At 37.6% G+C, this 27,400-nt stretch overlaps 1 protein-coding gene across 10 annotated transcripts in view, besides 2 other annotated features; it reads left to right on the top strand.

The window, feature by feature from the left end:
- The window catches only part of PPP2R2B (protein phosphatase 2 regulatory subunit Bbeta), a 500,779-nt gene that overhangs the window by 281,134 nt on the left and 192,245 nt on the right, over positions 1-27,400 (top strand). The gene's annotated exons all lie outside the window — the stretch shown is intronic.
- Positions 2,896-3,690: an enhancer, noted in NCBI's record as "OCT4-NANOG hESC enhancer chr5:146176260-146177054 (GRCh37/hg19 assembly coordinates)". NCBI's record gives its function as "activates a minimal SCP1, AML or CMV promoter by ChIP-STARR-seq in naive H9 embryonic stem cells {active_cell/tissue: H9 hESC(naive)}" and the evidence as "EXISTENCE:reporter gene assay evidence [ECO:0000049][PMID:30033119]".
- Positions 10,958-11,659: an enhancer, noted in NCBI's record as "OCT4-NANOG-H3K27ac-H3K4me1 hESC enhancer chr5:146168291-146168992 (GRCh37/hg19 assembly coordinates)". NCBI's record gives its function as "activates a minimal SCP1, AML or CMV promoter by ChIP-STARR-seq in naive H9 embryonic stem cells {active_cell/tissue: H9 hESC(naive)}" and the evidence as "EXISTENCE:reporter gene assay evidence [ECO:0000049][PMID:30033119]".

Below are 27,400 nucleotides of genomic sequence, written 5' to 3'. Positions count from 1 at the left end.
CCTGGGATGCCCCTAACCTTGATGCCATTCTGGTACCAGTACCCGGGGATCCTTACAATACACAGTTGTGAGGATGAAGTGAGATAATTTATATAAATTACCCACCAGAATGCTTGATCCATAGATAGGTAATCAGTACAAGTCAGTAATATTATGTTTATTATTATTATCTTTTATTTATATTTATCTTTTATTTGGAAATTACAGAAAATCCTCTCATTTCCAATTATCAAGATGCATGGACCTAGAGCTATAAAAATCCATATTATTTCTTTCATGATTGAATTGACTTCCTTAATTGTTATAATAATTCAAATTTCAGCTTATGATTATCGTCTTAGGTTTTTTTTCAGATCGATTCCACACCCACTAATGAACTATCGTGTTGAGCAATGGGAGAGCAATTCCCATAATCTGTTTCCCTGCAATCCCTCTTCTGATGCTAATGAGAAGTACCATGGAGACATCAGCCGTTAGTATACATGGGCTGGTATAAATCATGGACTATGGATCATTGTGCATCTTTGTTGTAAAACAAATGGCCTGTGGTCAGTTAATCATACAAAGAAACATCTCCAGGGCCTCCTGGCTTTACTCATAACCCCTAAATTCGTTTGCAGTTTTATAAACAGAACATCTGTTAAAATATGCAGAAATTACAATCATAGTCATTAGCAGAGAGCTATATAGCTTTGGCAGATTTTTTCCTAAGCTTTTGATGGTGATCTCCTCTATCTGTGATTCATGCTTCATTCCCAGTCTTGCTGAATCTCTTTTGTTCACCTCTGTTCTTTTGGGTTGCAGCACTTTTAACCCAAAACTCATGAGTGGACATGTGTTGTCTCAGGCTAGATTGGCACCATGCCATTGTGCAGCATGGCAGAGTGACTGTAGCCTGTCGATACCTCCTTACAAAACTGTATATTTTGGGTGTGCAATATGCATATCTTCCAGCAGCCAGAAGCTGAGAAACCCTAATTGGTTTCACACCTCTTTTACTGACCTTGGACTCTTACAGCACTGGCATTTAACCAAAAGTAAATAGAGCTCCCCACTATCACCAGCAGCAGCCCAAATCTTTCATATTCATTCTCTTTCTGTCTTTCTGTTAAAATTTGTACTGTGTTAACAATTTAAATTAGGCTAGTGCAAATAACATCTAAGTCAAAGACAAGGAGAAATATGTTCATCGCTAGAAAACAAGATTTGCTCTAAGAACCTAGGTTGGCCTCCTCATTGTTTAGTGAAGAAATCATAACTCCATCTAAGAACTGGGGAGTAAGTAAACTTTCTTTGGCCATTGCTTTGTTCTGGCTGCCCCGGAATGGGAATCAGAGGATATTTTCTACAGAAATTAAAAAGTCACCTCGGAGTATTCAGTGTATCTGTCACCTATTTTTATATATATGGTTTTATAAATTCTCAAAGTCACTCTGGTTGAGCCTGACTAGATCCCTTTAAACAGGCTCACAAGGAAAAAGAAGACAGAAGTGAAGTGGCTAAGATAGCAAATTCTGAGGTCAGACAGACATGGACCTGATTCCCAGATCTACTATTTGTTAGCTGTATACCCTGGAGAAAGTTAATTCCTGAAGCTACAATTCCCTTCTATAATATTAGTGCCTACCTCATCAAGTTATTGATAGGATTCAAAGAGATAATCCAAGCAAAGCATCTCGCTATGTGCCTAGAGCATTCTTAAGTGCTGAGTCAATATTAGTTGCTACTGTTGATAATTTTGTTTGTTCTCAGTGTTAATGCACTGTTAGATTATGTTAGGTGTTGATTTTATCATTGGTAAAACATTCTTTTTGTAAAGTACTTATAATATTTAAATGATAGCATTCATTTGTCTAAGAATAATTTAAGCTCCTGCTCTAGGCTCAGTATGCTGGTGAGTGCTGTATGGTGTGTGAAGATTTATCTTCTGCATATGCCTATCAATGGGTATAAATCATCTTAGAATGTATTACAGAGAAAATCCAAACCAAGTACTGTGGAAGCTGTGGATTAGAGAAATAAATTACCAGCTGGGGAAGCCTTCATCAGGGGAAGGTTAAGGAAGTCAGGGTTAAGGCAGGCTTGACAGATCTCCAGTGATACGTGAGAGGAGAGAAGAGGGTAAGTCTCCTTGGAAGATGAAAAACAAAATGAGGCAACCGAGTGAAAGAAATTGGGATAAAGTAGACAAGGAAAGGGCCAATTTGCCTTCTGGGTGAATGAAAAAGAATTAGAGGGTAAAAGCCAATTAGAGGCTCAAAACCAGACTCACCAAGTCCCCAAAGATACTAGGGATAAAAATGGAAAGCTCCTGAGGAGGAGACTAAAAATAAGACAAATGCCTGTCTCGGATGGAGTAGTTATGGGAAGGGAGACTCTGAAAGGAGATTGACGGTTTGTTTGTCTATTTCTCAGCCTGTACCTGAGACAAGCTCCAGTTTTCTGCCGTATTCATGGCACTTACTGGCACTTGTGGCTGCACAGCTCCCTGCCAACCTCTGAACTCCAGGAGCTAAGCCAGCTGTCTTTAGGCAGCCGCTTTCTTGCTTTCAAAAGGAAAATTGCAGTTGTGCGTTGGAGTCCTGAGCCCCAATTAACATGTCAGGCTCTGAAACAAACAAATACAGATAACAAAGAGGGAGATAATGTTTTAAAATTAGGTTCTCAGGAGTCCCCCATTAATTTGGAGCTCACCAGACAGTTACTGCATGTTCAATAAATACCATTTGATGACAATAATGTGCTTAGCTGCTGGTAGTCGGAGATGCCCAGTAGATAGGTCTCTTTAAGCACGAGGTTACAAATATACCTTGTTATATCATATTCAGCACAGATGCAGAGTCTTTCAGCTTTACAGCTTTTGTGAGTATTAATCCCTCCAGAGGCCAGAAAGATGGGTGTTATCATCCTCCTGCTAAAAATAAAAGAAAGCAGGCAAGTTGGTTTGAAAAATCCAGATGGTGAGTTCAGGATACATGGACTCACTGTATAATGTTCAGTACACACAAAACCACTGCATAATCAAATATGCTATGTAAATACCCAGAGGTTGTTTAGCAGGGTAGCTTGTGGAAATGAAAAAATTAGCAATAGTGGCATGGATTTTTTAAAAAGCAATTATTTGCTTTATGTGATGACAAGAATCCACAGATGGTGCATCCTTAAGTTCTTGAGTGTCTTGAAAGCTAAAGCATGATTGTAGTCACACTACAAATAATAGCTGAAAAGGGGTATGTAAGAGCCCTTTATTCTGTTGATTTCAGTGGAACAGTGCCTGTTATTGTATGGATCATGGTGGAGCACTTTCATGCTGTGAGAACACAGTGGGAACGTTGAGAGCTAACAAAGGGTCAACTCCCAAAACTTTTGGAAGAGTTTAGCTGATTTACTACTTCCACCTTAAAAGGTGGAGAACTTATGGGATGGAGTTACAGGCTGGTGAAATCAAGCTGATTCTTCTCATTGCCAATGGTGGTATATTAAGTCACTCTCACTACTATAAAAGTTCAGAGTGGACCTTAATTAGTAGCAATAATCACAAGGTGATGGTACTCACTAAGAATCAATGGCCTAACTAAGAAAAAACATGTGCTTCCTGGCCAGACTTAGAAGCTACAAAACAAATAATGGTTTTTGGCAGTGGTAACTGGGAACAGAGACTTCCTAAATTTGGCTTGATTAGTTTCCTTTTCTACCCTAGGTTTGTAAATAGGACTTCCCAAATTGTACATTTGTTCATTCAGCAAATCCTTATTAATCATCAATTATGAGCCAGGTCCTCTGCTAGGTATTTGTTGGAGAAATAGTATATTCTGTGGCTTATCTTTAGCTCAGAGATTTTGCCTTATTTGCCTTACCTTTCCCCAGGGCCCTTGGCACAGTATATGGCACATTGTGGGCACTCTGAGTGTAAATTAAAAGAAGAAGAATGTTTGCCATTTGTAGCTACTAGAGCAGTCAGATGCCACGGAAGTGGTGTTCTATCTCATAATAACTTAAACTTATCACTTGGTAAAAAGTGCATTGCACATAGGCCAGGTGGGTGGTTTTAAGTTCTGCTCACTCTGTCCTTTGTGATGACTTCTGTTTGTGATGACTCGAGGAACAGATATGTATACACTTGGACGTATGGGAGCATACGTGGACCTATCATGAAGATTCTCATTGGTTTTTTTCATTGCCCAATTGGATAAGAACAAGATGCTTCTGCATTTTAAAATCCTCCTCAGATGTCATATCATTGCAATGACATTTTTATATGGGTGTTTTCTGTTGGTGTACCATTGTTTGAGTCAGCAGCAAAACACACTGAATGCCTACAGTGGAAGAGGTGAAACAGAGATGCTTATTAGGCAGTAACTAGGCAGCTGAGTTCAATAGTGACAAAACGTAGGGATAGTCTATATGCAGGCATGTTTATACCCAGTTGAGCATAGATAAAAATGTGCATAGATAAAAATGATAGTCACTAATGATGACAAAGAATTTTTATCATGTGCCAGATACTACGCTGGTCATTTTATGTGCGTTATTCCATCGAATCTTCTGTTTTTTAGTCATGCAAATTGACTTTTTCAGCTTTGAGATGTAATTGACAAAACAGTTTGTATTTAAGTTGCACAACCTGACGTTTTGATATACTATACCTAGTGAAATGAGTCCACAATCAAGCTAATTATCTATCACCTCACATGCTTATGTTTTGTGGTTTTTTCTGTTTTGTTTTATGCATATGTGATGAGAATAACATCTACTCTTAGCAAATTTCAAGTATATAACACATTACTAACTGTAGTCACCATGTTGTATATTAGGTCTCTGGAATTTATTAGGCCAACAGCTCCCCAATACCTCACTCCTCAACCCCTGGTAATCACCCTTCTACTCTGTTTCTATGAGTTCAACTTTTTTAGATTTCCCATATAAGTGAGATCATGCAGTATTGTCTTTCTGTGTGTGGTTCATTTCATTTGGCGTAATGTATTAGGTTCTTCCATGTGGTCACAAATGGGAGGGTTTCCTTTTTTAAGGCTGAATAATATTTGTTTTGCATGTATACCACATTTTCTTTATTAATTAATCTGTTGATAGACACTTAAGTTGTTTCTATATCTTATCTATTGTGAATAATGCTGCAATTAATATGGAAGTTTACATGTCTCTTCAAGATAGTGATTTTATTTCCTTTGGATATATAGTCAGAAGTGGGAGCCTATCTAATCTCCTTAACAGTCCTTATGAGGTGGGTACTTTCACCAGCCCCATTTTATAGATAAAGAAACTGATAACCTGCTTATGACCATTGCAACTAAGAACCCATTTTCTTAATCACTACACTAAATTACTATGTAAGTATTTAATATAATGTGATTAAGAAATTATTTCTCCTTTGCCCCCATATTTTCATTTTGCACAAAAAAAATAGGGGGCAGGAGGAAGACACCACTATTCATTGTCTTGATTTTCCTGTTTTAGAAATTAGTCCAGTCCCATTTGATTGCCTCCCAGTGGAACCAATAAATTGGATGAGTCAGTGGTTCTGGAAAAATTCTTAAAATAAAACTGCACCATATTAATATGATTAGTCATATCACTAAAATAGAGACAATTCATAAGGGCTGTTTTCAAAACCCTAAGTAAAAACATAAAGCAATAGGATGTGCAAACAGTTGGTAATGGCATTTGGTATTGAAGGAAATCATTTGTGCAGTTACCTTTGATTCAAGCAAATATCAGCTCTTTTTTCCATGTTTTTCTGGGCTTACTCAACTGTAGAATTATTGGAGTTATATGCGCATTTCTGAGAAGCTCTGTACTTGTCTATTTAGTCAGAACTAAAAAGGAAGTGGGCATTCATAGCAACCCATTTTATTTATAGCTCTGCTGTGGCAGTTTATTGTAAGTACAGTCACTTGTTAGCATAAGTTAAAAGCTATTACACTTTGATTGCAACTATCATTAGGTAAAGTTATCTGAATAAGCTTGGGTCTCCACTGACAAATGAAAGATGTAAATTTCTCACACACTTTTAATGAGTAATTAGTGCAAACCTACCATTTGCTCTGCAAAGTTCAAGGTTATTTTATTTACTAACATGACTAAATAAAAGATCAATTTCAGTTCAAGTAGGAAATTGATTATGATTGACAAAAGAAGACTGAAGACCTTCATAAAGAGTATCAAACTATTTTTTCAAGCTAAGCTGTAGTCATTAGCCATGTACAGATATCTTTCTTCAGTCACAATCCTACTTGTGAAGTTAAGATAAAGGCCAGTTTTATTGGTCTTTGGGAATGGAGAGTTATTGGACAGAGTCAAACTAAGTCTATTTTCTATAATAGCATTTCTCAAAAAGTGTTCAGAATTTCCTGAGATATGTGTCAAAATGAAATTTCTGAGCTCTACTCAATATCTACTGAATCAATGTCTAGGCATGGTCACCTAGAAAGCTGCATCTAGTGAATTTGACTAAGTGTGGGGACCACTGAGCAAACTGGTCTCCCTGTGTTTAGATACCTCAGCCCTTACCTTTGTCTCAGCATTGTAGTTGCAGCTCAGTATAACCCTAGAGACAGGGAACTGAATTCTTTTGGCTCTGTTGCCCACACTTAGGTCCTTTATATTCTCGTTATTTCTAACCCTAAACATGTATCAGCTGATTTAAAAATTCCACTTGGGAATAGGCAGCAATATTGGGTGACAGGAACACAGACTCTAGAGTCAGACTGCCTGGGTTTCAGTCCCAGCTCAGCTATTTATGTCTTTATACACAGGTGAGCATATATGCTCTTGGCCAAGCTGTTGTGTGATCTTAATATCCATGAGCCTCGATTTCCTTAATTATAAAATTAGGATAAAAATAACTGACTTAACAAGGTTATAGGGATTAAATAAGTGACTTAAATGAATTAGTACTTGGATCCACTGTTATGTACAATTCTCCCTTTATTATTTCATCTACTCTTGTGACTTGAAATAGTATCTATATGTCAGCAACTCCCAAATTCATGTTTTTAGTCCAGTCCTGAATTCCATATTTTCTTATGCAACTGCTGCTTCAAAATTTCTATTTGGATGTCTAATAAAATATCGCAGACTTAATATTTCCGACTGAACTTCTGATCATCTCCTGAACAAACCTTTTTCACCTACAACTGTCCCTTCCTCAGTTGATAACAACTTCATCCTTCTAGTTCTTCAGGCCAAAAACCTTGCAGTCATTCTTTATTCACACTCCACATGCAATGCATCAGAAAATCATATTGGCTCTATTTTTAAAATCTACCCAGAATCTAATCTTTTTTCATCACTTCCACTGCTACCGTGCTGATGCAAGCAAGTATCTAACATACTTTGTTGTAGCAGTTCCCTGCTTCCACTTTTACCACTGACCCCCAAATCTCTTCTCCACACAGTAGCCATATTGATTCCTATAAAAAATTAGGTCAGATCATGTCACTCTTCTGTTCAAAATCTTTCAATGACTCCCCACCTCACCCAGTGTAAAAAAGGGCCCTTATGATGGCCTGCAAGACCCTACATCATCTGTCCTTCGGTTTATTCTCTAACCTCACTTCCTACTGCTTTCTGCCTGTCCCGTAGCCTTCTTGCTGCTGCTTGAACTCCCCAGTCTGGAAGGCCTTAACATTGGCAGTTTCTTCTACCTGGGCTGCTCTTCTTCCAGACATCTGCATAGCCAATTTCCTTACTTCTTCAAGGCTTTAAGTGTTGCCTTTTCAATGAAGCCTTTCTTGAGTACCTATTTGAAATTGAAGTCCCCTTGCACCTTTAGTCTTTCTGATCTGCATTAACCTATTCTGCTTTCCCATAGTCACCTTCTAACATACTACATACCTTACTTATTTATTGTTTGTTACATATCTCCCTCCACCAGAATCTGTGTTCCAAAAGGACACTTGTTTGTTTTGTTCATTGTTATACCCCCAACATCCTAGGACAGTACTTGGCATATAGTAAGTGGTGGTCAACTACATGTTGAATGGATGAATGCATGAACAATGTGGCATTGACTCAGAAGATAGTTTATAATTTCCCACAGGTTTTTGGCTGGGCTCTTGAACTATTTAACATTTTGTCACTGTATTGGCCAGTAATTTTTTGGTTAAACAGGCTAAAAAATCCTACTAAAAGTTTGCTTAATCAAAAATTAGGCACACACACCTTAAAAGATCTAAAGAACACTAGTTTTGAGTAAGGCTTGATCTAGAGCCTAGCTATGTTACCCGGGTTCAATAGTCTCTGTCCTCTGCTTTCTATGTAGACCCAGCAGCTGTTCCAGCCTCTTTGTGGTAGAAAATTGTCTGCCATAGTGCAGGGTTCCACATCTCCTTAAATCCTTAGGAAACATCTCCTAACATCTCATTAGCTCTGTTTGGATTCTGTGCTTATCCCTAAATCTATTCCCTATATTCAGTAAGATGGAATACCTGATGAATTAGGCCAATTAGGGCCTCACTCTCATGTGGCGGGAGGAATCAGCACCTCTCAAATTTTACTTGAGGATAAGAAAAGGGAAAGTCAGGGGATTATTGGCAGAAGAAGAAAAGAATGGGTTGCTGGGAGACAGCCAGTGGTCTGGTATAATAAATAGTAGTGAGTGTGTGCTTATTAAATTAAATATGGTAGCATAAGGTTTGGGGATTCAAGCCAAAATAACATATGGAAGAACTGATGGATTTCTTCATTCATTCAAGAAGTGGAATAGCATCTGCAAAAGCACAGAGGTATGAAAATGTTTGACATGTTTGGAGAGCTTTGAGGAGTGAGTGTGAAGAGAGTAAAAGTAATATGTTGGAATCTTCTCAATGTAGCAGTGAAAATCTGGACCTAACTCTCATTGGTCCAAGTTGGATTTTTTTTTAATGCCTGAACCAATCACTGTTGCCAGGGGCAGGGAATATGCCGATTAGCTCAGACCTGTAAGCTGTACAGACGCACACGCACACGTGCACACACCACACACACATACACACAGCAGATTGGGCTGAAAAATGAAAAATAATATTTTCTTAATAGAAAAAGGGGGGATCGACACTGAAGAGTTATAAGAAGCAGAAAAAGATTGGCAAAATATCTCAGAATAGACCAATGGACTAAGATATAGCAGTATGATAGTTACATGACATTGAACGTGGTGCTAATGTAAGATATGGTGTGACAGTTGTAAAATTCCCTGCCACTTTTCAAAAAGACCCGCACCATTCTACTCCTTACTTTTTGTGTTATATATATGTCCTTCCAAAGGACACAAGAAGAGAAACAGGTCCTAAAAGATAGGTGACTGGGCATAGTTGAGTCCTTCCTTTGCAGGTAGTCTCTCTTTGCCTTTTCTTCTTTTTCATCTTCCTTTGGGGTGTTTTGAATGGAGAAAAAGAAAGCCTAAACATTGACCGATTTGCAGCATTCGTTGTGACTTTTGTCCTTTCTGCTCCACTTGTGTATCTACTCTAGTATAGTTCAGAATCAAAATGTGAAGGTCTGACTGTTCCTCAAGAGTTCATTTTATTCTGTCCCCAAAACACTGTCCCACTTTCTTCCTCCTCTCTTCAATGCTAAATGGAATGTGGACAATCATAATATAATGCTTCACTCTTCCTGCCATTGTAGGATTTTCAGAGAAGAAAATCTAGGTGTCTGAGGCAAGAGAAGGAGAGTGTGAGGTTTATCACAGGTGGATTTATCCTTGGGAGGGATATTAGGCAATGCTGCCTTATGGCTCAGTGCAGGTGTGCTCAGAGGTGAAGACAGACATTGGGGTATCTTTCTGTACTTGTTCCAAGTCCCCATCATATGCTCATCCCCCTTTGTGCACTGATCTCTGTTGCCTTGCTGGCGTAATTAAGCGCTCCCAATGCTACTGCCCCAGTTTCTAGTCTGTGGGTAGAAAGAGCTGCCCTCACCCGTGCCAACCCCCCAGCATGTTCCCTCATTAAATCATGCATATGCTAATGAAGTGTGAAAATCAGCCAAATAACAACTCTTTCTAATCACTTAAGGTCCCAAGAGCAAAGGGCTTTTTTCCTGTTCTCTTAATTTTGGGGTGGTTGTTATGATTTTCAAGCCAATCGGAAGCACAATTCTCTGGTGTTTCTCCTCTCCCAGTTCCCTTCCACAGAAATGAGGGTAATTGGCATTTTCACTTCTATCTCAAGTGAGAAGAGTCTTCAGGAAAACCAGTGACCCACTGTGCCCTTTTCATTTGCATCTGGGGCTGGATAATCCCTAGTTTTACATTCATACACAGAGCAGTCCCGAAGGGCAATTAACTAGACTACATTATTTCCTGCCCCCTGGAGGGCTAGTGTTTGAGAACATTTCCCCCAGAGATGGGGCATGTCAAGGCCCTTGTGTTGTGATTACATTTTACCTCTGCATTTCAGTCAACTTCCCTGAGACTTTGCCCCTCTACCCATTATCCTTGCAGACCTAGTTATGTTCTCTGTCTCCCTGATCTGGCCCCTGCCTGCCTGACCATCTGCTACATCCGGCCATTTGCACATCTCTCTTTTTTCTTCTTGGAAAGGTTTATCCACAGACATTCTTATGTCTGGCCTCTTTTTATCCTTCACATTTAGGCTCAGTTGTCACTCCTCAGAGAGGTCAGCCCTGACCACCTATTTAATATTAAATCCAATCCATTATCATTATCTTATACCACCTCCTCTTTATTCCCTTCAGAGCCCCCATCACTGATACAGTCCTATTTCTTAGATGTATTGCCTCTCTCTCCTTGAGGGCAGGGACCATGCCCGTGACTGTCTCGTTTGCCATAACATCACCAGGCCCATAGTAAATGCTCAGTAAATGTCTTTGCGTAAATCAACAGTGTTTTCCAAGTACCTTTGAGTGATTTTCATGTTGAAGTATAAGGTTTTATTTCTTTGGCTGTTTCACCTGAGACTGCTCCAGAGATTTTGTTGTATTTTTGTATTTATATTTGCTTCTCTATGTTAAGCATGTGTGATAGCTATATTATTAATACTGACCATGTTACTCGATTCTAAAATCATTGATGATAGTGAACATGTTACTGAAAGTTTTATGGAGAGACTGAAAGGGTTATGTCACATACCCAACATCTTTTTTCTTTTCCAAGTCTTACCCATTTGCCCCCCAAGTTTTTGGCTATTTTCTCTTGCCTTTCCACCCACATATTCACTCAGAAATCCTCCTTCCTACTCTTTTGTCAAGACACAATCAGCTGTTGCCCTCGGATTCCACCCTACAGAGCAAAACAAAAGCCTCACAGTGATCTCAACAGTGGCCACCTTTTGTTCCTGGAGCACGCTCCTTAGGGACCTGAGTTCATTCCAACATATTTGAATGAATAAATCACTGCATAGATGTTATCTTGGTCCCAACTGATCTGAGCCCTTTTTTCATTTTATTCATTTATTCAACAAATATTTACCAATGTTTGTGCCAGGTGCTGGGGTACAACAGTGAGCAAGATTGATTTGCTGATGCTAAGGTCTCTGGAAGAAACTGAGAGGGATGAATGAATTTAGAGGTCTGTGTGAGTCAAAACCCCAAGGCAGAGAGTTTTGTTTCTGTTGTTGCAGAGTGTTTAAGTGTAACCCAAAGGATTATATTTAAAGAGTACCCTTCACCATAATTTTTGTTGTTGTGTTGTTGAGATAGAGCCTTTCTCTGTCACCCAGGCTGAAATGCAATGATGCACGATCTCGGACCACTGCAACATCTGCCTCCTGGGTTCAAGGGATTCTCTTGCCTCAGCCTCCCAAGTAGCTGGGATTACAGGCATGTGCCACCACGCCTGGCTAATATTTGTATTTTCAGTAGCGACGGGGTTTCGTCTTGTTGGCTGGGCTGGTCTTGAACTCCTGGCCTCAGGTGGTCTGCCCACCTCGGCCTCCCAAACGTGCTGGGAGGCGTGAGCCACTGTGCCCAGCCCCACCGTAGATTTTTAAAGTAATTTTCCAAATTACTTAATGTTAAGATTGTAGGTTGCTCTGTCCAACCTAAACCTCCCTACTTTGGAGGTTACTGTTCCCTTTTTTTTTTTCTTTAAACCAGGGTGTGCTAAAGAAAAAAAAAATGTGGCTGGTGAGTGTGGAATTTACCATTATCCCCAAAATTTGGGCAGAGGAGATTGAAGCCAAGCTATATTTTTTGGAGTCTAATATGGATTTATTTTTCTTCCTCCTCCAAGACAAAATATAGCTAGACTCAGTAGAAGACACTATATATCCGAACCACATGAGAAAACTGGAGGCAACTTGCGCAAATGCTCACACAACGGCATGGAGGAGGCAGAGGGAGGGATTCTCATTTCCAGCTGGAAAATCAGGCTTCCACCAAGCCTGCTCAGTTTTGACTTTGCCTCCGAAAGCAGACATGAGAAAGACAGTTTGTCACTCAACTCCTTAACTATAGTAGAGAGACAGAGAAATTTAAAAGCCAAAGATGCAGTGTTTCATTGAAGCAGCATGTTATTATCACACCTGTTAAGATTTGAGCCTAAAGAAAGAAAGAATAGGCTGGACATGGTGGCTCACGCCTGTAATCCCAGCACTTTGGGAGTCCGAGGTGGGTGGATCACCTGAGGTCAGGAGTTCGAGACTAGCCTGACCAACATGGTGAAACCCCATCTTTACTAAAAATACAAAACTTAGCCAGGCATAGTGGTGTGCGCCTGTAGTCCCAGGTACTCAGGAGGCTGAGGCAAGATAATCACTTCAATCTGGGAGGTGAAGGTTGCAGTGAGCTGAGATCACCCCATTGCACTCCAGCCTGGGTGACACAGTGAGACTCCATCTCAAGAAGAAAGAGAAGACAAGAGAGAAGGGAGAGGGGAGAGGCGAGAGGGGAGGAGAAAAGAGAGGAGAGGAGAGAAGAGAAAAGAGAGGAAAGGAAGGAAGAGCTCTGGTGGCCCAAGATCTGAACTCTCCCTACAGAAGGCTTTTGTTCAGCCAGTTAAAATATTTTAAATGAGCTGCCAACATTTGAAAAACATACAATTTTTAAATGTTAAAAAAATCTATGCGTCTATCTTCCCTTGACAAATCTGATCCTGTGGCCACAGTGTGTACATACAACCTTCATGACCACAGTTAGCTGGAGTTGGCCAATAGTGATCACCCTGTAGATCATGTAGGAGTATTCCAGGTTGCCATATTTCCCTTCCAGCCTGCTCCCCTCATGGAGATTATCTGCCTGGCATCTGAGTTTGCAACCCTCAACAAAGGCCATGGCAAGGAAAATAATAGGGCAGTTGTAAGCACTATTTTTGTGTGTGTGTTTGATTTTTGACAAATCTAAAGTTAAAATCCCACATCTGCTACTAAAGATCCACATGGCCATAGGAAAATCCTTAACCTCTCTATGCTTCAGTTTTTTATCTGTAAAATAGGGATTTATTATGAAAAATGAACAAGATAAACCCTAAAGCCTTATGCATTTGACTGGAATTATTATAAGCATAGATAACAAGAGTTGTTGTTAGCTTCGTTATAAAGAAAAGCTTCCTGAGATGATTGAATTAAAGAAAATTTTACAGGCCTCACCTTTTTATTGCTTTCAGGCAACTTCATCTTTCTCTAAAGATTGATCTGTAATAAAAAGGAACTTGCTAGATTACATCATACCCAAATGTGTCTTCATTTTTTTCCCTACCAGTTTGGGAGGTGGGGAGAGCCAGAGAGAATCAAACCAATATCATCTCTTTCCAAATGATACCAAGAAGGATTAATATGGGCAAAGGACTAAAAGGGTTTATACACAAACAGAAAGGAGTTATAAATTAAGAGCTCGGAGAAAGCAGAGGGCAATGTAAATATCTTAAATTGTCTGGAAGTAACCTGGCCCCCATGAACAGCACTTCAGTGATAGTTGGTGGTTGTCAGGAGGCCCAGGTGGGTACAGCCAGGGGTTTCAGGAAGTGGCAGCATCTGTCTTCCTTATCAGGATGTGGGATAATCAGGAAGGTGCCAACTTCATAATTGGCACCTGGCTGACTGTCTCCAGGAGCGCTTCACTTGGCAACCTGGGTGAACCATGATAATGCATTTAAAGTAGTGTTTCCTGATGTGTGTATCACAGAAAAGTGGGGTGGGGGACAGTGTCTAGAGTTATCCTAAAGCTCAGAAATGACCTTTGAAATGAGTCCTTCTCAATAGTATTCTACATATCTTGAGTGATTCTTTTTTTCCTTCCATTTATTATAGTTTTATTGATATATAGTAATTGTTCATATTTATGGGGTACATGTGATATTTTGATACATGCATACAATGTGTAATCGTCATATCAGGGTAACTTGGGATATCCATCACCTCAAAGATTTTATTATTCCTTCATGTTGAGAAGATACCAAATCTTCTCTCTTAGCTATTTTTAAATATATAACAAATTATTGATAACTGTAGTCACCCTACTGTGCTATCGAACACTAGAACTTATTTCTTCTATCTGACTATATTTTTGTACTCATTAATCTACTTCTCTTTATTCTCCCCTCCCCTATGCCCTTCCCAACCACTGGCAACTGCCACTCTACTATCTACCTCCATGAGATCAACTTTTTTAGCTCCCATGTATCAGTGAGAACATGCATATATCACTATTTCTTGATATATACATTTAATATATTTCTATTAACTCCTCAACTGTGAAAAATAAGGATTTACTTCCAAAACTTATCTGACTTTTTAAAAATTACTCCATTCTGATTTTTGCTAGTTATTATTTTAGTTCCGTTGCTTGCCTTTGTAAGTTTAAATGTCACCATGAAACTTCTATTTCTTGTTTCACCAACTTAAGCTATTAAGTTGTTTTTGTTTTTTGTTTGTTTGTTTTTGAGACAGGGTCTCACTCTGTTGCCCAGGCTGGAGTGCAGTGGTACAATCAAAGCTCACTGTAGCCTCCACCTCCTGGTCTCAAGTGATCCTCCTACCTCAGCCTCCCAAGTACCAGGGATTACAGGTGTGCACTACCATGCCCAGCTAATTTTTGTATTTTTTTGTAGAGACAGCGTTTCACTATGTTGCCCAAGCTGGTCTTGAGCTCCTGGGCTCAAGCAATCTGCCTGCCTCGGCCTCCTAGAGTGCTTGGGTTACAGGCATGAGACACGGTGCCTGGCCAGCTATTTTATCTTGACTTCCCACTGTGTCAGATGAGAAAGTTAGCTCCCACTTCCTTCCTCCTTTTCTATACTCTTCTCCTTTTATATCATCAGGGTTGATTGTGTTTATATTCTCTTTTGTAACCACTATTAAGGTTGAGGGTTTATTCAATGAGTTATCTCATAAAGTTGAAAAGCAATAAATAATATTTAAACAATTTACTTTTTATTTATTGCTAAGTAAAATGGAGTGCTACGATTGTACTTTATTCTCCATGGGTGTGATGCACTCTTGGGTGACTCTTATTTTCTGTTTGCTTTTTTCTTCGCAATCATATATTCCAAAAGTTGATACTCCATCTATTTTATTCCTTTGTAAATTGGTATCTAACTTACGTATGTCTAATCCTACAATTTCATGATTCTGACAAGTCAAGTATGTCTGATTCTGAACTCACCAGGAAACTGATATTCTGTAAAGTTAACATAATAGAACCTTCTTTTCTGATGTGGAAATATTTATTTAACTAGAAAAATGGACAATGTTTTAAAATCAACACGGCAGTCATCCTTCTGAAGAGCTGAGAGCCACACAAAAAGAAATTGTATTGATATGTTTACCAACTTGAACTAGCACTTTTAATAGTATATTTAAGAGCAACCTACAGACTGTATATATTATATACATTACAGATTGTATATATTTAGAATTCCAGTTCTAATTGATATTCATTCTGATTTACTATTACGAGAAGGTATGATATTTACTGAAGGTGTGAATAGGATAAATAAGATTGTAGTGGGGTAAAAATATCTAATAATCCCAAGGAATGTTGTGTTGAATCAATTTTCCCATCAGTGTTATAAGTGCCAATATATTTCTTCATCACATCTATTTTGTAGGTAATATGGAAACATCCTTGACTTTAAAATAATGGCTACATTTATTTTTTAAATATGTAAGAATCCAATCCAGTCATTTAGAGGACTGAGGCTGTCCTCTTCTCACACTTTTAGTTGTGACTAAATTTTTGTTTTGTTTTGTTTCTATAGCTGTTTATTGAGAAAACTTCTGCATATCATGCATGCTATTTACAGAAAAAACTAGAAGTTGGAGACCATTTTGGGGAAAAATAGGCTGAAACATTCAATGTTATTATTCACAATTAAAGAGAGAAAGGGTAAAATGTTAACCAGCTGAGGTTCTTTTTATTGCATAAGATTTTGGGGTACTCCAGTCAATCCTTCACTATTTCGGTGCTTCTGCTTCCTTTGTGTGCCAAGTTTTGTAGGTCTGGGAATTACGTGCTAAGCTCATATAGACAGGTACACACACAAAGATATATACATACTCTGATCTTCCTTGATATTCTAATGTGATAAGTTAATAACATCATTCTCCGAGGCAGAAGCACAGCCTTCTTGCTCTTCCTATCCCCCGATCAGACAGTAGCAAAATTTCTGCAGTGCTCTGGGATGGAATTGATATTTAGTGATTCAGGTCCTTGTTCCTCAGAGGCTTCATTTCTGGTTCATGGGAAATTCTCATAACATCTGCCAGAGACTTACAAATGCGTTGTCTGCAATCTTGTATCTGTTGACCATTGCAAAGACAAGCATCCACCTCCAAGAAGTTCCTTTTGGGTGCTTTGTGTTAGAGGAGTGTCTTAAAAAAATTTACAGCCTCTGACATTAATTATTTTTTAAAATAGCATGATGTTTAACTGATTATAAAAGTTGTATGGACTTTGGAAAATGGAAAAAGCATAAGTAGAAAAATTTTAAATTGCTTATGCTATTTAATCAACTAAAGAGAAAATGACGGGTCCAGACAGATGCTTAAAGCACCCAAAGGTAGGTTTTATGAGCATTTTTGTGGAAATTATTATCTCTTTATTCAATGCATATATCTTTTAAATGAAATCAGGGCTTATGCTATACCACACTGTAACTTATGCAGAATTTGTAATGTTCACAGCATCTGAAAATCTTCATTTTAGTCCAGCTGATTATGCAGTGTAACCTGGGCCATAAATTAAACCTGGGGATGAGACTATGACCATGCATGCTTCTGTATTAGGAATAGATCACAAATATGTCATCAAATACTCTTATATCATGTGATTTTCAGTAGTTTATAAAGCCCATGACATTAATCTTAATTTGTTTAACCTATCCTTTATTCTCAGACATTTTATGGTTTTTAGTTTTTCAATATTCTTAAAAACTCTTCCTATACCTACTTACTTTTTCATATTTGGGGGAAATTCACTAAAAGCAGAATTTGAGCCAGTATATGTGATAGCAGGTTAAAGGATTTTTTTTCCATATCGATTCTATGACACTTTTGTATCCACATTTCTAGCCACATTCCCCTTTCTTTCTCTCTCTCCTTTTCTGCCTCCCTTCCTTCCCCCTCTGTTTCTCTCTGTCTCTCCTCTCTTCTTTCTTTTTCCTTCTTTCTTCTGTTTCCTCTCCCTTCTCTCTCTCACCCTTCAATTAAGTTCAAGCATTTTACATATTGAAATAACCAAGAAAAGTACAGAAACCAAGGTGGTCACCATACATGAAGCATAGCTTGAAAAACTATGGATCAACTCTTTAAAAAAAAATGGGCAAGGAAAAAAACAACTATTGAGTACTGAGGTATTAGGTTTGAAGAATATTATATCTTTTGCAATGTATGATGTGACTTGTGCAAGAATTAAAAATCAAGAGAGAGCAAACAGAAAAATTTGCTAATAACTGGAGGAATCAGGTAGTCATCACTCAGGCTGAAGTGAATTCATGTGGGCCATCTCTTTGGGCTTTATAACTTTATAAATTTGTGGGTACACCCCAGGAACAGATGCTTTAGGGGAAACTTAGATGCTGAGTTTCCTGGATTAATATAGAAACTGGCATATTCTAAATGTAAAGTTGGTTCAGAATGGTGTCTTTATTTTTATTTGAAACAACATGTTAAGATCCTCAATAGCTATAGGAGAGTTCTGGTTCAATTATGACAATGGATAATGTAATAGATCGTTCCTGCATTGCTATAAATAAATACCTGAGACTGGGTAATTTATAAACAAATGAGGTTTAACTGGCTCACAGTTCTGCAGCCTGTACAGGAAGCGTGATGCTAGCATCTCCTCAGCTCCTGGGGAGGCCTCAGGAAACTTGCAGTCATGGTGGAGGGCAAAGGGGGAGCCAGTATTCAAATCGCTGGAGCATGGGTGGGGGAGGTGCTACACACTTTCAAACAACCAGATCTCAAAAGAGCTTATTATCGTGACAACAGTACCAAGGGAAATGGTGTTAAACCATTCAACAGAAACTGCCCCCATGATCCTATCACCTCTCACCAGGCCCCACCTCCAACTTTACGGATTGCAATTCAACATGAGATTTGGTGGTGACACAGATCCCAATCATATCAGTTGGTGATGAATCTGGATTGATCCAAAATTTATTTCATTCCTAGCGTCTTTCTTCCTTTATTTGACTTTCAGTTGGATTTAGTCTGGTTGTAATATCCTGAAATATACTGTTTTCATAAAGTATCACATTGGGACAACTATGATTCTGTGAAATGTGGTGGTGGGCTACAGGAAAATTCATTTTTTTAACTGGTATTGATTAAGCAATACATACTTTTTGTCTAAAATTTTGTCTCTTTTTTTTTTTTCTTGGCTCAGATCTCTTATGTTCTGTTTTCATGAAAAATGCCTTGCCTGAGTATTATATGAAGCTAGGAATTTAGATGAGATTTGAAATGCTTGCTTGAGCACCACAGTTTTTCAAATATCCAGATTTTTGTGTTAACGTAAACTAAATATCCAGGTGGTCGAGTGACTACACAAATTTGGGTAGTTGGCATCAGACAGGCAAATGGAATATTCAAGTTGCCTTCTTCAAGGATACAGTTCAATATACACACTTTCACATCTGTTTGTCATTAGCTGAGAATTATGAGAGAGGCAGGATAATGTAGTGGCTAAGAGCAAAGATTTAGACTTAGACCTGGGTTGATATACTCACACTACTGTTATGATGTGATTTGGGGCAGGTTTACTTAGTGTGTCTGTTTTAGTTTCTTCACTTATATCATGAGAATAATTTTATATATATATATATATATATATATATATATATATATATATATATCATGGTGGCATTATGTATGTAAGTGAAATAATTATATAGGAAGAAGTTAACATAGTCCAGAGCAAATAATAAATGCTCTGTCAATAGTGTTAACTGTATTAACTAATATCATCATCATCATCTGAAATGTGGATGAGAATTGGAATAAAGTGGCTTGCTTTGGCACTGAAAACTGTATCTTTACAAAGCATAGATATTCTTCTACTTCTATGCAGTTCTATCATGTGATGCCTTAGCCATTTTAGAAAGAGGTGTGAGATATATACAAATGAGTGACTGAGTGATCAAATGACACAAATACCAACAATGCACTTCTATATTCTAGATGGTGTTTGAAGTAGATCTTGAAGAACAGGCAGAGAGAATTGTCATGGACTCATGGACTAGCAACTGAGGAAGAATATCTAACTAGAGGGGTCACCAACAGCAAACAGCACAGGGATTCCTAGTGATTAGTTTTCTTTTTATGTTATATATTCAACAGGTATTTCAGACTCTATTCTAGCCAGGCACTAGAACAAAGGCCATCTAATTTGGATATAGCATAGGCTGGAAAGGGGAATATGCCAAAGATAATTGTAGAAAATGTAATACTTAGAGTTTGGGCTTGACTCTGGCAAGTTGAGGGAGTCATTTTTGCTATCGGACAGTCAGCCTTTAAAGTCTGAATCAGTATTCACTGCTGTATTCTCTGTATTCCTCGTACCGCAGGGCCTGGATGGAGGCATTCAGCAAACATTGGTTCTCAATTTTAGGAAGATAGCAACTATCATTTTTAATCTACTTTATTATTACTTTTCTGACCATATAAACATTGCCCATTTTAAAAAATAATTTAATGTATAAAATATCCCACAATCAATTCATTGACTCATGCAGTCAACAGATATTTATTAAACATGTACTACTTCTCTGATTTTGAGGCACTAATCCCAGAGATAATTGAGGCTTTTTGTTTGTTTGTTTCTACCACAGCTCTACAAAGTGTTGGCCACATAATAGGTCCAAAATAAATTGTAGTCACATACAAAGAGACAAGTGTTTTACTGTAGTGGAGAAAAATTTAACCCCACGTTACATCATTGTTTTGCAATTTTGTGTTTCTAAAAACACTTAGTTTGAGCTACTCTATGGAATACAGAAAAAGCTACCTAATTTAGTGTCCAGAATCTCCAAATCTAACATAAACCAAAATTCGTCCCCTATATGTAACTCAAAAGCAGACTTCACCTTCATCCCCAGCTTCATCATATGTGTATTATTAATCCAGGAAATTATACTATGTATTACAGGCATTAAACTGAACAGAAGGGAGGGAGGCACACCCTACCTTATGCAGAGTCTATTTTAAATGTTTTCAGCATCTGAAAACCTTCATTTCAGACTAGCTAATTATACAGTGCAACCTGAGCCATAAATTAAACCCGGGGATGAGACTATGACCAAGCATGCATCTATAATGTTTATGAGCTATAAGGTCATTGCAGAGAACAGCAAGGAACATAGTTGTAATAGACTGTTGGCCTCTAAGGAAATTATTAATTAAATTTTATCTTCTCCCCAGCATGCTTCAGTGGTACCACTATGAGTCTTTAGACCTGGGGAAACTACACCTCGGTAATAACCGGCCTTATCACCGGGCCGGCAGTCATTTAATATGCTTCTTTGTCTGACACCAATCATGAACTGCAGTGTGGGATGTCAAGGCTTCTGCAAATGCCAATCGCACGCCTCACTGTACATCAGGCCCAGGGTTCAGATCTTATGATAGGAAATCCAAGAATCAACCGCCAGCAGAGTAATCCGTTTTCTGGAAACAAGATGTGGACAGTCTCGTTTCCAGCATCCAGCCCCTTCAGTCTCCCATGTTATCTCTGAAAGAGTTAAAATCACTCTTAAAAGACCAAAGTGAAGAGACTCAAGTGTCACTGTATTTACACCATCTAGATGGAGTGCTATTTTTGAGTCTTTGGCTTAAGGTGCAGACTTGACTAGGAAAATCAGAGCTGAAATGTCATTTCCAGCTACTTTCTTTGAGAGATTTCCCAGATGGATTGGCTCAGCCCACGAATCAAATGGCATTTTTGTTGTTGTTGTTTCTAACTGCTTGCTGTGTCAACCAGCTGTGTTCGTCCTGCCCCACACTGGATCCCCCACATTAAATGTTTTCTGATCAGCTGGCAGCTGTTCTGAAGACACACAAAGCAGATTGGAGTCCGGCTCTGTTTTTCCATAGATGGGCAGCCCTGCCCCACTAATGGGGATTTAAGCATCTTCATTTTAGGCAAGACAGCAGGTAGAGAATATAAAGCACAGATGTGTTGATTAGATTCTGAGTTTTCCAAATTGTTACTTAAATGTGCCTTCTGTGGCCCAGTTATGTATTCTGATGACTGTGTCATTTACCCCTGCTTTATAAATTTGAGTCACTGACCCATCTCCTCTCTTCACAATCCCCTTTGTTATCAAAAACTCATGATAACAAAGGAAATCTAGGAAGAGTGAAAATTCAACTCAGGAGACTTTGACTGAATGCCTGAAAGATGGTACTGTGGCACCATCAGTGAGACCAAGAATGAATAAGACACAGTCCCTAGGATGAAAAAATCAAGAAGTGACAACACTGGCAATAGCTATGACAATTTTTACCCAAATTGCCTCTGAGTAGGCTGCATATTTGAGGTTGACAGCATGTGTGGAAATTACACTCACATCTTTATTATGGCCTTGCTACTTATGTCATATCCCTGGGTGTTCTCCTTGGAAACACTTTTGTGAAGACAATTAGGGTTAGGAGAACTTTATTTTCCATATTACAATTTCATAGAGGAATCTGTTCCACTCTGAATTTTTAAAAGCCATTTTAAGGTGATCTGCTTTATGAAACCTGATAAGCTCTATGGAAATTTCAGGCAAGAGATTTATAGCAAAGAATATTTTCAGTAGAGACATCACCAGACAAAAACAGTAAATTTTTATCAGGAATGCCGGAACCCAAATTGCCATTTTCCATTGCCTCTGGAAAAAGGAAAATTATTTAACCTTGGGAAAGTTTCTAGTTGTACACAATTCTCATAGAACTTTAAACTCTTAAAAAGTGGAAGGCCTTTGAGACCCTCATCTTGTCTAACATCCTGCCATGTGTATAAATTCCTTCTACAATTTCCCTGCTGGGCTACCATACAATTTTTTATTAGTATCTTCAGTGCTGGGAATTTTACTCCCTCGTAACAGTGCATTCATCTTTTTAAACATTTATAGACATGGATTAATATGTTTAGGTAGAACTGATACAAACAATTTAACCAATTACATTTTGCCTGTTCCAGCTATCTGGCCAAAAATATGTTTAAGTTCCAGTTTATAAGGGCCACTTTTCCTTTTCTCAATTGTGCATAGAAAAACTGAATGGTTTTGTATATGTCATAGTATGGTGCCATTACAAATACCAACAATGATGTTTATAATAGACTTCTTAATTTACCTTTTTACTGTGGTAAAATATATATAACATAAAATTTACCATTTTAACCACTTTTAAGTGCATATTTAGTGGCGTTAATTACATTCACAGTGTTGTGCAATTATCACTATTATTTCCAAAAATACTCATTACCCCAAACAGAAACTGCACCCATTAAGTGATAACTTCTCATTTCTCCCTTTCCGTAGTCTCTGGTAACCTCTACTATATATTCTATCTCTATGAGTTTGCCTATTCTAGATATTTCATTCAAGTAGAATCATACAATAATTGTCTTTTTGTGTGTAACTTCATTCACTTAGAATGTTTTTGAGGTTCATCCATGTTTACCATGTATTAGAACTTCATTCCTTTTTATGGCTGGATAATATTTCATTTACATATGCGCCACATTTTATTTATTCGTTCTTCTGTTGATGAGCACTTAGGTGTTTCTACCTTTTGGTTATTGTGAATAATGCTGCATGAACATTGGTATATAAGTATCTATTTGAGTCACTGTTTTCAATTATTTGGGGTGCATGCCTAGGAGTGGAATTGCTGGGCCATATCCTAACTCTGTGTATAACTTTTTGAGGATGGAAGCTGCATTATTTTACATTCCTCCAGCAATGTGTGGGGATTCCAATTTTTCCACATCCTTGACAATACTTATTTTCCTTTTTAAAAATTATAGCCATCTTAGTAGATGTGAAGTAGTATCTTAGTGTGGTATTTTTTGCATTTTCCTAATAATTAATAATGTTGAGCATCTTTTCATGTACATATTGGCCATTTGTATATCTTTTATAAGAAAACATGTATTCAATTCCTTTGCCCATTTTTTATTTGGGTTGTTTGTCTTTTTGTTGCTGAGTTATAAGAGTTATTTTTTTACTCTGGATATTAAAACCTTACCAAATGTATGATTTGCAAATTTTTTTCCTATTCTGTGGGTTGTATTTTCACTCTCTTGATAGTGTCTTTTGATATACAGAAATTTTTATTTCGGTGAAGTCCAATTTTATATATTTTTGTTATTGTTACCTGTGCTTTTGGTGTCATATTAAAACTATTGCCAAGTCTGACATAATACACATTTGCCATTATATTTTCTTGCAACAGTTTTATAGTTTCAGCTCTTAAATTGAAGTTTGTAGTTTATTTTGAGTTAATTTCTTGTTCATATTTGGGTAGGGCCCAACTTCATTCTTTTGAATGTGGATGTCTGGTTTTTTCCTAGCACCATTTGTTGAGGAGAGTATTCTTTCCTCAATGAATGGTCTTGACACCCTTGTAGAAAATCATTTGACCATAGAGATGATGGTTTATTTCTGGGCTCTCAATTCTATATTGTTATATAAAACCGTTGTTATCCCTGTACCACATCATTTTGATTAATATAGCTTTGCAGTAAGTAAGTTTTGAAATTAGGAAATGTGAGTTCTCCAACTTTATTCTTTTTCAAGATGAATTGACTATTCTTGTATTCTTGGTCCTCTGAAATTCCATATGAATTTTAGAATCAGTTTTCACATTTCTTCAAGAAACACCATTAGGATTTTGATAGGGATCGCATTGAATCTGTGTGTCACTTTGAACAGATATACCACATTGGGGCAGCATTATCATCTTAACAGTATTAAGTCTTCCCATCCATGAACACTGAATGTGTTTCCATTTATTTTTGTCTTGCATTTCTTTAAGCAATGTTTTGTAGTTTTCAGTGTACAAGTCTTGTACCTCCTTAGTTAAATTTATTCCTAAGCATTTTATTATTTTTTATGCTATTGTAAACAGCGTTTTTATAAACTTCCTTCTCAGAGTGTTCATTGCCAGTTCATAAAAATACAACTTCTTTTGTTGTTGATTTGTATTCTGCAACTTTGCTGAATTCATTTTATTAGCTATGACAGATTTGCGTGTGTGTGTTTGTGTTCTTAAGGTTTTTAAATGTAAGATCATATCATCTGCAGGCGAAGATAGTTTTACTTCTTCCTTTCTAATTTAGGTGCCTTTTATTTATTTTTCCTGCCTAATTGCTCTGGCTAGGTCTTTCAGTATTATGTTGAATATAAGTGATAAAAGCAGGCATCTTTGTTGAATATAAGTGATAAAAGCAGACATCTTTGTCTTGTTCCTAATCTTAGGGGCTACATGGCTTTTATCAAATTGAGGATGTTCCCTTCTATTTCTAATGTATTGAGGGTTTTATCATGAAAGGATATTTGTTAGATTTTGTCAAATGCTTTTTCTTTGTCAATTGAGACAATCACATAGTTTTTTCCTTTATTCTATTAATGTGGTATATTACACTCATTGATTTTCATACATTTTACCACTTTTGCAATCCTGGGATAAATTTCACTTGCTCAGGGTGTATAATCCTTTCAATATGCTGTTGAGCTTGGTTTCCTAGTATTTTGTTGAGAATTTTTACATCGGTATTCATAAAATGTGTTAGTTTATAGTTTTCTTTGCTTGTGTTGTCTGTCTGACTTTAGTATCAAAGTAATGCTGGTCTCATAAAGTAATTAAGAAAGTGTTTTTGTTTCTGTGTTTTTGTTTTCGTTTTTTTGAAAGAGTTTGAGAAGGATTGGTGTTAATTCTTCTTTAAATGTTTAGAATTCACCTGTGAAGACATCTAGTCTTGGGCTTTTCTCTGGAAGATTTCTAATTACTGATTTCATTTCCTTGCTTGATACAGGTCTACTTGGATTTTCTATTTCTCCTTAAGTCAGTTTTGGTAATGTCTGTGTTTCTAGGAATTTGTCCAGTTAATCTAGGTTACCCAATTTGTTGGCATACAGTTATTCATAATATTCTCTCTCTTTTCTTTTTTTTTTTTTTTTGAGACAGAGTCTTGCTCTATCTCCCAGGCTGGAGTGCAGTGGCATGATCTCAGCTCACTGCAGCCTCTATCTCCCAGGCTCAAGCGATTATCCTGCCTCAGCCTCCCAAGTAGCTGGGGCTACTGGCATGCACCACCACGCCCAGCTAATTTTTGTACTTTTAGTAGAGACGGGGTTTTGCCGTGTTGGCCAGGCTGGTCTCGAACTCCAGACCTCAGGTGATCCGCCCACCTTGGCCTCCCAAAGTGCTGGGATTATAGGCATGAGTCACCACACCCAGCCTTATAATATTCTCTTACATCCATTTTTTTTTTCTGTAAACTCAGTAATAATGTTAGTATACAACCCCCCACTTTATTTTTGTCTCTCTCATCATTAGAGAGGTTTTCCTTGATTTTTACTAAAATCTGGATCCAAGAACCTTTCTGACATTTGGTCCTGGTTCTCAGACTTTATTATTTTTTGGTCAGTTTAAGACAAAAACACATTGCTGATAGTGATGATAATAATGACAGCAATAACAGCTCCCATTTACTAAATGCTTTCCACATGCCAGGCATTATATGTGAAATAGCTTCCTATATCATCTCACTCAACTCTTAACCCCATGAGTTAGGTATTATCATCTTATCCTATCAATTTTCAGAAAACTAAAACACAAAGCAGTTAAGTCATTCATCAAGTTAGAGTATCCAGGAAAATCAAAGAAAGATTTAATTTTGATTAGGATTAGTCCAAGGCTTATAAGTCCACAGAATTCACCAAGCCTACAAAATATACAGTTTTCTCTCTTGTTTTGCTTATGGATACTAAGATATTTTATTTCCTTCTGTGGCTGACATTACCTATTACGACGGGTTGCAGTGGGAATGTTTACAGATAGGAGAAACAAGGATGAGGTATTTGGGAGAAGAGATGGTCTGTGAAGGTAGGCTGTCAATAAGTGCTAAGAAAAACAGATTAATTATATAAATAATTCACATTAAACAAAAAACTCATGGCAATTAAAATTGGCCTCTACGGTAAAAATATTTCAGGAAAAGATGGATAAATTGGGAGACTATTTTATCTGAAATAGCTGTTGAGTTGTGCCTTAATTTAAACATGCAGAAAAAAAGAGAATTCTCAAACCCTGCTGCTCAGGAAAGCAAGCTGAAAGGGAAGGTGGCAAAAGAAGGAATGAACTTTGATTACCTTCAGGCTCTGTATCATCCAATCCACTCACCCTATAATCTGTCAGACAATGTTTATTTTTGTAGATAGGCCATAATTCATTATTTTGTGCATGTGCTAATACAATGGAGAATGCATTCTGTTTCAACCAAATACTAAAAGTGGAGTTGTAGAATTGTGAGGCCATTTCCACTGCTTTAATTCAAATCTAGATCATAATAAACCACAGTCTGAAAGAAGAGCATGAAGCCTGGCTCTGCTTTGTGCAAGCCTTTTGAAAAGATGAAATGAAAAAGTCAAAGGAGAAAAGACACCAGCTCCCCAGAATTATATCAGACATATTAATCATGGAAGGTCCAAACGGAATTCCTGGAATGCAAACGGCTGTGCAGTATGGCCATTTCCCATAATTTCCAAGTTGCTCTCCATCAGCTGGATAATACTGTTTAATCCCTTACGCTGATTTAAAATTCCATCAGAGGGAAGTAATGTGTTTCTGTTCTGGAGGTTTACTATGGTAAATGCATTACTGGATTAACTTTATCTTCACTATTACAGGGGTCTTTTAGGTGCTAACACAATTTTAAAATAAAACAAAAACTCTTCTATTTGAGAATGCATTTTCCACATCAGAACTCATTTGTGATGTTTATTGAG

Source organism: Homo sapiens, chromosome 5, assembly GCF_000001405.40.
Source record: "Homo sapiens chromosome 5, GRCh38.p14 Primary Assembly".
Taxonomy (NCBI): domain Eukaryota; kingdom Metazoa; phylum Chordata; class Mammalia; order Primates; family Hominidae; genus Homo; species Homo sapiens.
The sequence above is the reverse complement of the archived record's forward strand: the minus strand, read 5'-3'. Positions and strand labels throughout refer to the sequence as shown.